Source organism: Homo sapiens, chromosome 17 (genome assembly GCF_000001405.40).
Source record: "Homo sapiens chromosome 17, GRCh38.p14 Primary Assembly".
Classification (NCBI taxonomy): Eukaryota; Metazoa; Chordata; class Mammalia; order Primates; family Hominidae; genus Homo; species Homo sapiens.
Genome location: NC_000017.11, coordinates 39,515,584 through 39,528,910, shown reverse-complemented (window position 1 = coordinate 39,528,910; position 13,327 = coordinate 39,515,584). Strand labels below are relative to the sequence as shown.

General features: G+C 43.8%; 1 protein-coding gene across 50 annotated transcripts in view; it reads right to left on the bottom strand.

The window, feature by feature from the left end:
- The window catches only part of CDK12 (cyclin dependent kinase 12), a 106,074-nt gene that overhangs the window by 38,649 nt on the left and 54,098 nt on the right, over positions 1-13,327 (bottom strand). For 49 of the 50 annotated variants that reach the window (XM_047436256.1, XM_047436261.1, XM_047436260.1 and 46 more), the window contains exons 9-13: positions 13,103-13,180; positions 11,355-11,471; positions 8,824-8,955; positions 4,026-4,237; positions 2,595-3,047 (exon numbers count right to left, since the gene is read on the bottom strand). In XM_047436256.1, the coding sequence (XP_047292212.1) occupies positions 2,595-3,047; positions 4,026-4,237; positions 8,824-8,955; positions 11,355-11,471; positions 13,103-13,180 (992 nt within the window). The remainder of the gene's footprint in view (positions 1-2,594; positions 3,048-4,025; positions 4,238-8,823; positions 8,956-11,354; positions 11,472-13,102; positions 13,181-13,327) is intronic. The other variant, XM_047436293.1, reaches the window with a different exon arrangement.

Sequence of the window (13,327 nt, the reverse complement as noted above, 5' to 3'; positions counted from 1 at the left end):
TATATAAGGACATCACTGTACCAGTTATTTAAAAAGTATTTCTGGACTACACATAAAATGGAACACGAGGATTTTTAATACCGAGGTCAAATAACTTAAAAATGTGTAACTGTAAAAGTGAGATAATCTAAACTTACATTCTTCCAGCTATGCCATTTTTTTGTATTCAAACTGTGCCTTTTATGTAAATAGCCTAATTATGTTTCAACAGAACTAACACTTGAGGTCAAATTCTTTCATATGTGTAAAATAAAAATTCTATTCCAAAGTAGCAAAGGCTGGGCATGGTGGCTCATGCCTGTAATCCCAGTACTTTGGGAGAACAAGGAAGGCAGATCACTTGAGGTCAGGAGTTAGAGACCAGCCTGGCCAACAAGGTGAAACCCCGTCTCTACTAAAAATACAAAAAAATTAGCCGGGCCTGGTGTCACACACCTGTAATCCCAGCTACTAGGAGGCTGAGGCAGGAGAATCGCTTGAACCTGGGAGGTAGGGTTTGCAATGAGCTGAGATCACGCCACTGCACTCCAGCCTGGGTGACAGAGCGAGACTCCATCTCAAAAACAAACAAACAAAAAAACTTATTAAAGTAAGCCTAATACTTCTTAAAGGAATTAAAAATATGAATTATAAATCATATTGTTATGATCTAAAGTATCAATGTTGTCAATCCTTAAAAGTATGGACTTTTGGCTGGGTGTGGTGGTTCACACCTGTAATCCCAGCACTTTGGGAGGCTAAGGCGGGTGGATCACCAGAGGTCGGCAGTTCAAGACCAGCCTGGCCAACACAGTGAAACCCCATCTCTACTAAAAATACAAAAAAAAATTAGCCAGGTGTGGTGGCAGGTGCCTGTAATCCCAGCTACTTGGGAGGCTGAGGCAGGAGAATTGCTTGAACCCAGGAGGCAGAGGCTGCAGTGCACCAAGATCGCGCCATTGCATTCCAGCCTGGGTGACAGAGAGAGACTCTGTCTCAAAACAAACAAAAAAAAAGTACGGACTTTCAGGATTGACAACAATAAGGATGTATTATTGAAATGTAAAAATAAATTTAAAACTTCAGGCCGGGGGTAGTGGCTCAAGCCTGTAATCCCAGCACTATGGGAGGCTGAGGCGGGCAGATCACCTGAGGCTGGGAGTTCGAGACCAGCCTGGCTAACATGGTGAAACCTCGTTTCCACTAAAAATACAAAATTAGCTGGACATGGAGGTGCATGCCTATAATCCCAGCTACTCAGGAGGCTGAGGCAGGAGAATCGCTTGAACCCAGGAGACGGAAGTTGCAGTGAGCCAAGATCATGCCATTGCACTCCAGCCTGGGCAATGGAGTAAGACTCCGCCTCCAAAAACAAACAAATAAACAAACAAAACCCTTCATTTTACTCATTTGATTTCAACTTATCACCCTTCCCAGTAAGTACAGAATAGTAAAACAGCAGCCCAATTAATAGGCTGTCACCTTCTCTGGTTTATACAGTCTGCCCTCTGGTGGAAGTGCTAATTAACAGTGAAATGGCCAAATAGAGATAGCAGGGGAGAAACAAGAACAAGTGAGCCACTGTAGAGGCATCAGCTGAATAATCCAGGGGTGACTGCAATAATTAGTTACGGCATCTCTACACTTTCCTCTGAAAAGTAAATCCAACAACTTCTGGCCATAGGCCAGGCCTTAAAACATATACTTTCTGCACCACCTCATATGAAATGTGAATGTAGGACCCTAAAGTTGAAGATTAGTATATCTCTTCAGCCCTCGAGCCTCTTCTTATTCCCCAATTCATGGGGTCTTCATGGACAGTGAGAATTTCCGAGGAGTTAAAAACATTTTTACATAAGTAAAGATTTTGCAAATACAGTGTGAATCAGAATTAAAGAACTTAAACTGCTTTTCCCTCTAATAAATTGCACGCTATGGTCATGTGAGATTAACGTATAACTTATCCCCATTTTCCTTTTTTTTCTTTATAATACACGCACTTCCTGATCTGGGGTCCATTCAATTGCTTCTATCAGAAACAGATTTAAAGGAATTGTTCTTATACACTATTATTTTTGGGAAAAGAAATGTATAGTGTTAATTATCTACTTAGAAATATTCCCAAATTATTCTTCAGGAAATTAACAATGATATTTTATTAGGGTTTTCTTGATTGTATCTTCCAGGAAAGACTGGCATTCAGCATCCACTCCACTAGAGGTAAAGAAGTATAGTCTGATAATGGTTTGTTTGGAAGTCAGATTTCCAAGTGCTAGGACTAGTTGGCCACCACACACAGTTCAAGATGTGTGGTTCAAGATGCATCACTAGCTATGGTTGTGGTTTCCTTGGTTAGAACACAGGGGCTTTACTTACCTATCTCCTAGGAGGTGGAAAAACAATCAGTATAGGAAAGGTGCTTTGGGAAGCTTTGAGACTTAAATAAAAGAAGCCAAGCAAGAAATACATTACTTGGTGCTATGTTCTCCTGTAGACTAGGTTACAGAATAACTGAAACCAAGGCCATTGATGTGGGGGAAAAAAAATGTTAAGAGATTTTTAAGAGGGTATCAACAGCACCTGAGCTCAATGAGATTCATGACCGGTCTGTTTACCTGCTGCCTCCTCCTGTGGCATTGTGGGAGTTCTTCGGGGCCCCTGTGGCCCACTGTTCTTGTCACTGTTGTTTTCCTCCAGACTGCCTGCTGGCTCTTGGGTTTTCATCAGCTGACTCAAGAGAACTGCCAATATATTCTGCATGTCAGCTGGTGTGCTTGAAGCTTCAAGGGTCGTCTGTTCTGCTGAAGGCAGGATCACTGGGGCAGAGGGTGCTTCCTTCAAAGACTCCTCTGGGGCCATGGTCTCTGAGTCCTGCTGCTGGGAAGTAGCTTCCGTCAGGGCACTGATGGATTGGTTCAGGGCTTCCAGCTGCTGCTGCATCTCTGGGTTGGAGTGGATGTTAAGCAGCTGTGCCATTTGAGGGATGCTCAGGTCGGTTTGGCTCTGCAGCAGGTTTAATAACACTGCCAATTCACTTTGATTCAGCTGTTGTGTGATGTCAGCAAGGCCTGTTGAAAGACAGTGAAGCCAATATAAGACGATGAGATAGGCCAAGGGCCCTTTGCCTTCTTCAACTGGCAACAGCAACTTACAATATCCAAAAAATGAAATTTCATTTTAAATGTCTCATTTTTTCATGCCTCAAAATGTCATGACACATTTTGTTACTCTTTATGCTTTCGCTTAAGAAATACAGGCACTAATAACTAAAACATCTCTGGATTGTGCATAAAAGTGACTTCACTTTATCTGTATTTTTCAAGTTCTGTGATTTTCAATCCTTTATTATACATCAGAATTACTAAGAGAGATTTAAAAATCTCTCCTATTCAGATGCCTCAGGACCCATCCCTAGAGATAGGCAATCGTATAGGCATATTTGTTTTTAAAGCTTCCAGGATGATTCTAATATACAGCCAGTATTAAAAGCCACTGCTATAAGTGAAGAGGGGAAAGTGAACCAGAAAAAGAGTATCTTTTGTCCCGAAGAATTGGTCATAACACAGGAGAACTACTTTGTTATAACAGTTCAATATGACATAGTTTCAGATACATTTAGATCAAAATAACAGTCTATAGAACAACATTTAGCAATTGTAATTTAACACTACTAGATTCTATGAAGGTCTTATCAAATCTAATATAAACAAGGCTCCAAATTATGTGTTTCATAAAGTCATGGGTGAACTAACCTTAAATTAAATTTGGCTTACCTAATTCACTGATTTATGCCACACATCTAATTGAGATACAGTGTTCCGTACATATTTCAGGAAAGGAAAATGATCTATTGTAGACTTTCTGGACCATATGTACGAAACTTGGTTAATCTCCTTCTCACCATAATGAGGACATTAACCTCTTTCCTAATGGTTCACTGGACCAAAAACTAAAAAACAGACACACACACAAACTCCTTACACTTGACCTTCAAAACCTGCCAAATACGCTTAGCAAAAGCACAAAGGCCCCATTCTGGCACTGACCTATTGCATCCCCAGCCCCAGACTCCACCTTGCCAGGAGCAGGCTGAGGTGGTGCTGGGCTGCTGTTCTTCACAGGCTCAGTACTTGTCCCTGAGGTAGTTTCTTTTCGAGAAGTTTTGGATGGAGGTGGCTCTTCGACTACAACACCACTTTGTCGCTGACGTCGCCGTTTCTTACTCCACAACTCATGGCAATCCTGCCAGTGGGGGAGGCTGGAAAAAGACAAAGCAAAGGGGAAATATGTAAGGGAATGCAGCAGTGAATGAATGGAGGAGCAAAGGATTAAAATGGGAAGGCAAAGACTGTGGGAAATGTAAAGAATAAGGAAAACAAAAATAACCAAAAAAGTTAGTAAAAGTAGGTAACAGCAGTGTAAAATAAATCATGGCAGATGGTAGTCTGAGGAAATAAAAGTACGAAAGTTACATAGTGAGAAAGGAGGATCTTGCTAATACTAGGTACAGACCAGCTATATAAATTCCCATATAAATACTGTCTTTCCTTGGCATAACAACAAAAAAGGAGAACAGTATTGGTCAAGTTTCAGTAGGGAATAAAGACGAGGACAGTAATGGCTGGCTTGTTAATGTATACAGAAGGTCGAGGAAAGGCGGTGACTTAAACCATGGAACCATGTATCATGATCAAAACATCTCTGTGCAAAATCAACTTATGTGTAATTTGGTTTGTGAGGACCAAAGACTAGTTCTTTCCCCTTTCTGCCCACAGAATTTCTATGACTGGATATCAACTTGCTCATCTGTGGAGTTCAGCACTACGTATAACTTAGTCCAGAATCTCTCATACAATCAGACCAAGTAGGTCAAATCTTACTATAAATCTCTCTATAATAGGAGTTCCCAAATTTCAGTAAAACCCTTATATGTTTCAAGTCATATTCAATGTATCAACATTCTAGTGTAATAAATGAATTTGGCTGGGCGCGGCAGCTCATGCCTGTAATCCCAGCACTTTGGGAGGTAGAGGCAGGCGGATCATGAGGTCAGGAGTTCGAGACTAGCCTGGCAACATGGTGAAACCTGGTCTCTGCTAAAAATACAAAAATTAGCCAAGTGTGGTGGTGTGTGCCTGTAATCCCAGCTACTAAGGAGGCTGAAGCAGGAGGATTGCTTGAACCTGGGAGGTGGAGGCTGCAGTGAGCCGAGATCACACCACTGCACTCCAGCCTGAGCAACAGAACAAGAGTCTGTCTCAAAAAAATAAATGAATTTGGACATTTCTTTGGAGCAATCAGATTTAGAATTACTACCTACTCATGAACTAACATCCTATCCATTTTTAAGACATGTAGTCTTTCTTAAGAAAATGACCTCCAAAATTTGACATTAAAGCTATAATACTGTCACTGACAAATTCAAAGATAAAATACTTTTTTTTTCTTTTTCTTTTGAGACAGAGTCTTGCTCTGTTGCCCAGGCTAGAGTGCAGTGGTGCAATCTCAGTTCACTGCAACCTCCGCCTCCCAGGTTCAAGTGATTCTCCTGCCTTAGTCTCCCTGAGTAGCTGGGACTACAGGTACACGCCACTACGCCTGGCTAATTTTTGTATTTTTTAGTAGAGACGGGGTTTCACTATGTTGGCCAAACTGGTCTCGAACTCATGACCTCAGGTGATCTGCCTGCCTCAGCCTCCCAAAGTGCTGGGATTACAGGCATGAGCCACCGTGCCAGGCCAGATAAAAGACTTTTTATGTGCTATAATGTGGGATATGAATCTCTGAAGCTCCAATACAATACAGAGGCATTCATAAGATTTTAATTAAATAGAGACATATTAAAAGATCATATTTCTTTTATGTTACTTTAATTTTTTGAGATGGAGTATCACTCTATGGTCTAGGCAGGAATGCACTGGCACAATCTCGGCTCACTGCAACCTCCACCTCCCGAGTTCAGGCGATTCTCCTCCCTCAGCCTCCTGAGTAGCCAGGACTACAAGCATACACCACCACACCTGGTTAATTTTTTGTATTTTTAGGAGAGACGGGGTTTTACCATGTTGGCCAGGCTCTCTTGAACTCCTGACCTCAGGTGATCCATCCACCTCGGCCTCCCAAAGTGCTGGGATTACAGGTGTGAGCGACCGCGCTCGACCGAAAGATCTTATTTCTTACATCAAAATTCAGTAATCTGGCTGGGTGCGGTAGCTCACGCCTATAATCACAGCACTTTGGGAGGACGAGGCAGGCGAATCACCTGAGGTCAGGAATTGGAGACAAGTCTGGTCAACATGGTGAAACCTCATCTCTACTAAAAATACAAAAATTAGCCAGCTGTGGTGCCGGGCTCCTGTAATCCAGCTACTCAGGAGGCTGAGGCACGGGAATCGCTTGAAGCCGGGAGGTGGAGGTTGCAGTGAGTTGAGATTGTGCCACTGCACTCCAGCCTGGGTGACAGAGTGAGAGACCCTGTCTCAGAAAAAAACAAAAACAACAAAAAAAACTGGCAGTGATGCAAACCATTTAAAACTGGGACTGTTGGCCGGGTTCAGTGGCTCACGCCTGTAATCCCAGCACTTTCGGAGGCCGAGGCAGGCAGATTACCTGAGGTCGGGACTTCAAGACCAGTCTCACCAATATGGTGAAACTCTGTTTCTACTAAAAATACAAAATTAGCCAGGCATGGGGGCGCATACCTGTAATCCCAGCTACTCGGGAGGCTGAGGCAGGAAACGCTTGTGGTGAGTCGAGATCACACCACTGCACTCCAGCCTGGGCAACAAGAGTGAAACTCTGTCTCAAAAAAAATAATAACAAAAAAAACCCCAAAAAACTGGGACTATCTCTGCAAGTGTGAGATATACATGGTCACCAGAGACATGCATGATTACAGCTGGAGGAATGGTTAAGAGCAAAAACCAGAGGGAGGCCAAGCATGTGTCTCCTGCCTGTAATCCCATGACTTTGGAAGGCTGAGGCGGGAGAATCACTTGAGCCCAGGAGTTTGAGACAGTCTGGACAACATTGTGAGACTCCATTTCTACAATTGGAAAAAAAAAAAAAAAGGCTGGGAGTGGTGGCTCATGCCTGTAATCCCAACACTTTGGGAGGCTGAGGCAGGCAGATCACCTGAAGTCAGGAGTTTGAGACCACCTTGGCCAACATGGTGAAACCCTGTCTCTACTAAAAATACAAAAAAATTAGTCGGGCGTGGTGGCCTGCGCCTATAATCCCAGCTACTCAGTAGGCTGGGACAGGAGAACTGCTTGAATCCAGGAGATGGAGGTTGCAGTGAGCCGAGATCACGCCACTGCACTCCAGCCTGGGCGACAGAGCGAGACTCCGTCTCGGAAAAAACAAAAAAGGCTGGGAGCAGTAGCTCACATCTGTAATCCCGGCACCTTGGGAGGCCAAGGCGGGCGGATCACCTGAGGCCAGGAGTTCAAGATCAGCCCGGCCAACGTGATGAAACCCTGTCTCTACTAAAAATACAAAAATTAGCCGGGCATGGTGGCGTAATTCCAGCTACTTGGGAGGCTGAGGCAGGAGAATTGCTTGAAACTGGGAGGCGGAGATTGCAGTGAGCCAATATCACACCACTGCACTCCAGCCTGGATGCGAAGAGTGAAACTCCGTCTCAAAACACACAAACAAACAAACAGGCCAGGCACGGTGGCTCACACCTGTGATCCCAGCACTTTGAGAGGCCAAGATGGGCAGGAGTTCAAGACCAGCCTGGCCAACATGGTGAAACCCCATCTCTACTAAAAATACAAAAAAATGGCCAGGCACTGTGGCTCATGCCTGTAATCCCAGCACTTTGGGAGGCCGAGGTGGGCAGATCACCTGAGGTCGGGAGTTCGAGACCAACCTGACCAACATGGAGAAACTCTGTCTCTACTAAAAACACAAAATTAGCTGGGCATGGTGGCACGTGCCTGTAATTTCAGCTTGGGAAGGCTGAGGCAGGTGAATCGCTTGAACCTGGGAAGCAGAGGTTGCGGCGAGCTGAGATTGCGCCATTGTACTCCAGCCTGGGGAACAAGAGCGAAACTCCATCTCAAAAAACAAAACAAAATGAAACAAAAATACAAAAAAATTAGCCGGGTGTGGTGGCAGGCACCTGTAATCCTAGCTACTTGCAAGGCTAAGGCAGGAGAATCGCTAGAACCCGGGAGGTGGAGGAGGCAGAGCAAGATTCCATCTCAAAACAACAACAACAACAACAACAACAAAAACACGCTGGACGCAGTGGCTTACGCCTGTAATCCCAGCACTTTCGGAGGCCAGGGTGGGTCACCTGAGGTCAGGAGTTCGAGACCAGCTGGGCCAGCAAGGTGTAACCCCGTCTCTACTAAAAATACAAAAATTAGCTGGGTGTGGTGGTGTGTGTCTGTAGTCCCAGCTACTCGGGAGGCTGAGGCAGGAGAATCGCTTGAACCCTGCAGAGGTTGCAGTGAGCTGAGTTGCACCACTGCATTCCAGCCTGGGCGACAGAGACTCCATCTCAAAAATAAATAAATAAATAAATAAACCAACCCACAAAAATCTAAAAGGAATACTTTCAAAGAGGCTCTACACAACAATATTCTGGGATGGAGATCCAGGGACAAAAGAAGATAGCTTGAGTCAAATTAGAACAAGTATCAAAGCTAAATCTATTACTTATATAAAGAAAAAAACAACAAAGATAAAACAAAAAAAACAAACCTCAACCATAATACTCAAAGACACCTCTTCATTTGGGTCTTACTGGGCATCTGTGGTTCTTTTATGAGTTTCTCATCGTCTAAGGCCCAGGGAAAGATTTAGGGTCACAACATGGCTACCAGCACTTACTCTGGAGGAGCCATTTTGCTGAGTTCGACATCTTTAAGGAAGTCGCTCTGTAGGGTCTGTTCAGCTGTGCACCGCTTACTAGGATCTAGTGTCAGCATGTGGTCCAATAAATCAAGTGCTGCAGAAGGAATGCTATGGAAAAGAACACAGAAAGGACAAGTTCACAATGACCCTACAGTTCTCAAATTTGTAATTTTGTTTCAAAGGGTCTCACACCTGTAATTCCAGCACTTTGGGAGGCCAAGGTAGGACTGCGTGAGGCCAGAAGTTTGAGATCAACCTGGGCAACATACTGAAACCTCATGTCTACAAATATATATATATTTTTAATTAGCTGGGTGCAATGCTGTGCACCCTGTAGTCTCAGCTATTTGGGAGGCTGACATTGGAAAATCACTTGAGCCTAGGAATTTGAGGCTGCAATGAGTTCTTACTGCACAACTGCATTGCAGCCTGGGCAACAGAGCAAGAGCCCATCTCTTTTTAAAAAAAAAAAAAAAAAGGATGTGCAATGGTGGCTCATGCCTACAGTCCCACACAGCACTTTGGGAGGCTGAAGCGGGTGGATCGTTTGAGGCCAGGAGTTCAGGACCAGCCTGGCCAACATAGTGAAACCCCATTAGCCAGGCATGGTGATGCACGCCTGTAATTCTAGCTCCTTGGAGGGCTGAGAATCGCTTGGACCCAGGAGGCGGAGGTTGCAGTGAGCCAAGATCACACTGCTGCACTCCTCCAGCCTAGGTGACAGAGTGAGACGGTCTCAAAAAAAAAAAAAAAAAAAAAAAAAAAGTCTTTGAATTTCCATGTAAAACCAAAGAAAGCAAGCTGGAGGTTGGCTAACACAAGCAAGCAGATTTGCTCCCACACAGGATTTAAGAAATGCTGGGCCGGGCACAGTAGCTCATGCCTGTAATCCCAGCACTTTGTGGGGCCGAGGCGGGCAGATAATCTGAGGTCAGGAGTTCGAGACCAGCCTGGCTAACATGGTGAAACCCCGTTTCTACTAAAAATACAAAAAATTAGCTGGGTGTGGTGGCACGTGCCAGTAATCCTTGCTACTCAGGAGGCTAAGGCAGGAGAATCACTTAAACCCAGGAGGCGGAGGTTGCAGTGAGCCGAGATGATGCCACTGCACTCTGGCTTGGGCAACAAGAGCGAAACCCCATCTCAAAAACAAACAAACGAGAAATGCTGTGCTATAACACAAGTAAAAAATATGGCCAATTCTGGCTAGGTGTGGTGGGCTTACACCTATAATCCCAGCTCTTTGGGAGGCTGAGGTGGGCAGATCACTTGAGGTCAGGAGTTCAAGACCAGCCTGGCCAACATGGTGAAATGCCATCTCTACTAAAAATACAAAAATTAACTGTGCATGGTGGCGGGTGCCTGTAATTCCAGCTACTTGGAAGGCTGAGGCAGGAGAATTCCTTGAACCTGGGAGACGAAGGTTGTGGTGAGCCAAGATCGCGTCACTGCACTCCAACCTGGGTGACACACACAAAAATATGGCCAGTTCTATCCATCTATTAAAGTTAAAAAAAGTAAAATAAAATAACAGAGAGGGAAAAAAGTAAGAAGAAAACAAAACCAAAACATGGCCAGGCGTGGTAGCACGAGTGATCTTCCTGCCTCAGCCTCTCAAAGTTTAAGCCCAGCAATTTGGGGGGCTGAGGCAGGAAGAGCACTTGAGCCCAGGAGCTCAAGACCAGCCTGGGCAACATTAGGAGACCCTATCTCTACACGGAAAAAAAAAAAATGCCAGGTGTGGTGGCGGGTGCCTGTGGTCCCAGCTATTCAGAAGGCTAAGGTGGGGCCGGACTCAGAGGCTCACGCCTATAATCCCAGCACTTTGGAAGGCAGAGGTGGGTGGATCACAAAGTCAGGAGTTCAAGACCAGCCTGGCCAACATGCTGAAACCCTGTCTCTACTAAAAATACAAAAATTAGCTGGGTGCAGTGGCAGAGGCCTCTAATCCCAACTACATTGGGAGGCTGAGGCAGGAGAATCACTTGAACTTGGGGGGCAGAGGTTGCAGTGAGCCAAGATCATGCCACTGCACTCCAGCCTAAGTGGCAAAGTGAGACTCTGTCTCAAAAAAAAAAAAAAAAAATGAAGGCTAAGGTGGGAGGATTGCTTGAGCCCAGCAGGTCAAGGCTGCAGTGAGCCCTAAACGTGCCACTGCACTCCAGCCTGGACAACACAGCAAGACCCTGTCTCAATTTAAAAAACAAACAAACAAAACCCATGAAGCCAACAATTCCATTCTCTTTTTCTCATGGAAAGATCAAGAAGGCTATGAGAAAATTTATATATTGTTCAAAATAAAATGGTTTTCTATTGTCTAAAGCCTTCAGAAGAGAAAATTACAAAAGGGCTATGATAAAACTCATATACTGTTCGAAACTAAAATGTTTTCCTACACTGTGTTGCCATGATAAACTGGGACAACATTAACTACCCAGACCAGGAAAAAGCCAAGTCCCAACACCAGCCAGACACAGAAACGAGATGTTCATTTTCCCCAAACTCACAAAGAGAATTCTTCTCGTAGACGCCTTCGATATTGCTTCTTCGGTTTCATGGTGTTGAAGTAGGGCAGTTTGATAACATCAGGCCACACAGCTGGACAAGGGCTACCACAAAGTCGGCTGAAAACAAAGCAAAAGCAAGAACAATGGAGTGAGTGAGTCAACATCATGAATTCCGGAGGTTTCAGAAGCAGAAATTATTACCTCCTGAGGTCTGGGGAATCTTTGGTTATTACATTACAGGGCATGCAGAAAGGAAAATATGACATTACTGCTTTAAGGGCAGAAAGGCAGAGAACAGAAAGAACTGGTTATAACAGAGGAAAGAAAAAATACTCGGATAATAATCCTAAATGATCCACATTATTTGGATTTGTGAAATGTTTTAATCCCCCCATACAGGTTTTTATTACCAGTTTTGTTCTGTTCAGTTAGTAGTAATTACAAAGGGCTAAGATGATCCTATAGTATCCCTATAGGGTAAACTGTGAGATGAGAAGAGAGTATAAGACTGAAAATTTTGAGAGATAATCAACAGTTTACCAAATAACAACAACAAAAATATCACCTTTATCACCTTTAAAAAATGTCTACATTGGCCGGGCACGGTGGCTCACGCCTGTAATCCCAGCACTTTGGGAGGCCGAGGTGGGCGGATCATGAGGTCAGGAGATCGAGACCATCCTGGCTAACATGGTGAAACCCCGTCTCTACTAAAAATACAAAAAAATGAGCCGCGTGTGGTGGTGGGCACCTGTAGTCCCAGCTACTCGGGAGGCTGAGGCAGGAGAATGGCTTGAACCTGGGAGGTGGAGCTTGCAGTGAGCCAAGATCACGCCACTGCACTCCAGCCTGGGTGACAGAGCAAGATTCCATCTCAAAAAAAAAAAAAAAAAAAAGTCTGCATTAGGCTGGTGTGGTGGCTCACGTGTGTAATCCCAGCACTTTGGGAGGTCAAGGTGGGAGGACTGTTTGAGCCCAGGAGTTCCAGCCCAGGCAACAAACATAATGAGACCCTATCTCTACAAAACAAATGAACGAAAAATAGCTGGGACTACAGGTGTAGTCCAAGCTACTCAGGAGGGTAAGGTGGGAGGATCACTTGAGTGCAGGAGTTTGAGGCTGCAGTGAACTATGATCACACCACTGCACTCCAGTCTAGGTGACAGAGCGAGACCCTGTCTAAAAAAAAAAATACAAAAAACATTAGCCTGCTATATTCTTCCCTTTAATTTTATTGAAAAAAACAAAACAAAAACAAACCCACCCAAATGCCAGCCCAATCCTGGGCTTTCCCCATATTTTCTATTATAGGTTGTATTTTATAACTATTTACATGCTATATACCTTACTAAACTCTGAATTCTTTGAAGGCGGGGACCTATTTTTTATCTCTGAATCCTAAAGTTTAATGTTAAAAGTAATCTGTTGTATAACAGGCTCAATAAATGTTTGCTGAATAAATTTAATCTCATCTGAGCTATGAATGGAAGAGCCATCCCCAAAATGGTATGCTTTTATATGAAGAGCTAATAAAAAATATGCAAAGTAAGATCTAAAAATTAGGTGAAATAAAACTTCTTTATATGTATAGCCTATGACAAAATATATGGTAAACCTGACTGAGTAAAGAGAAACTTACTTGGACATAAGAAACATAAACTCATTCAGAATGACTAGAAAGTGTTAGAAACTGGAGGATGAGAATACCTATCACACCTGGGCACTCAAGAGCACATGTACAGCTGTACCTGATCAGTTCTAGCTGAGCCAGTTCCAGATTGGCTTGAAAAATAGGCTTCTTTGTGAATAGTTCCCCAAGAATACATCTAGAAAAGGTAAAATTGAGAGGTCAGAAGAGAAATTCTTAGAGCCTATTTAAAGTGTCTCAAAAAATTTTTACATTATTGATATGTCGGATTGCAACCAAGATAAATAGCCCCAAATTTCAGTGTCTGAGTTTCCAAAGAGAAAAT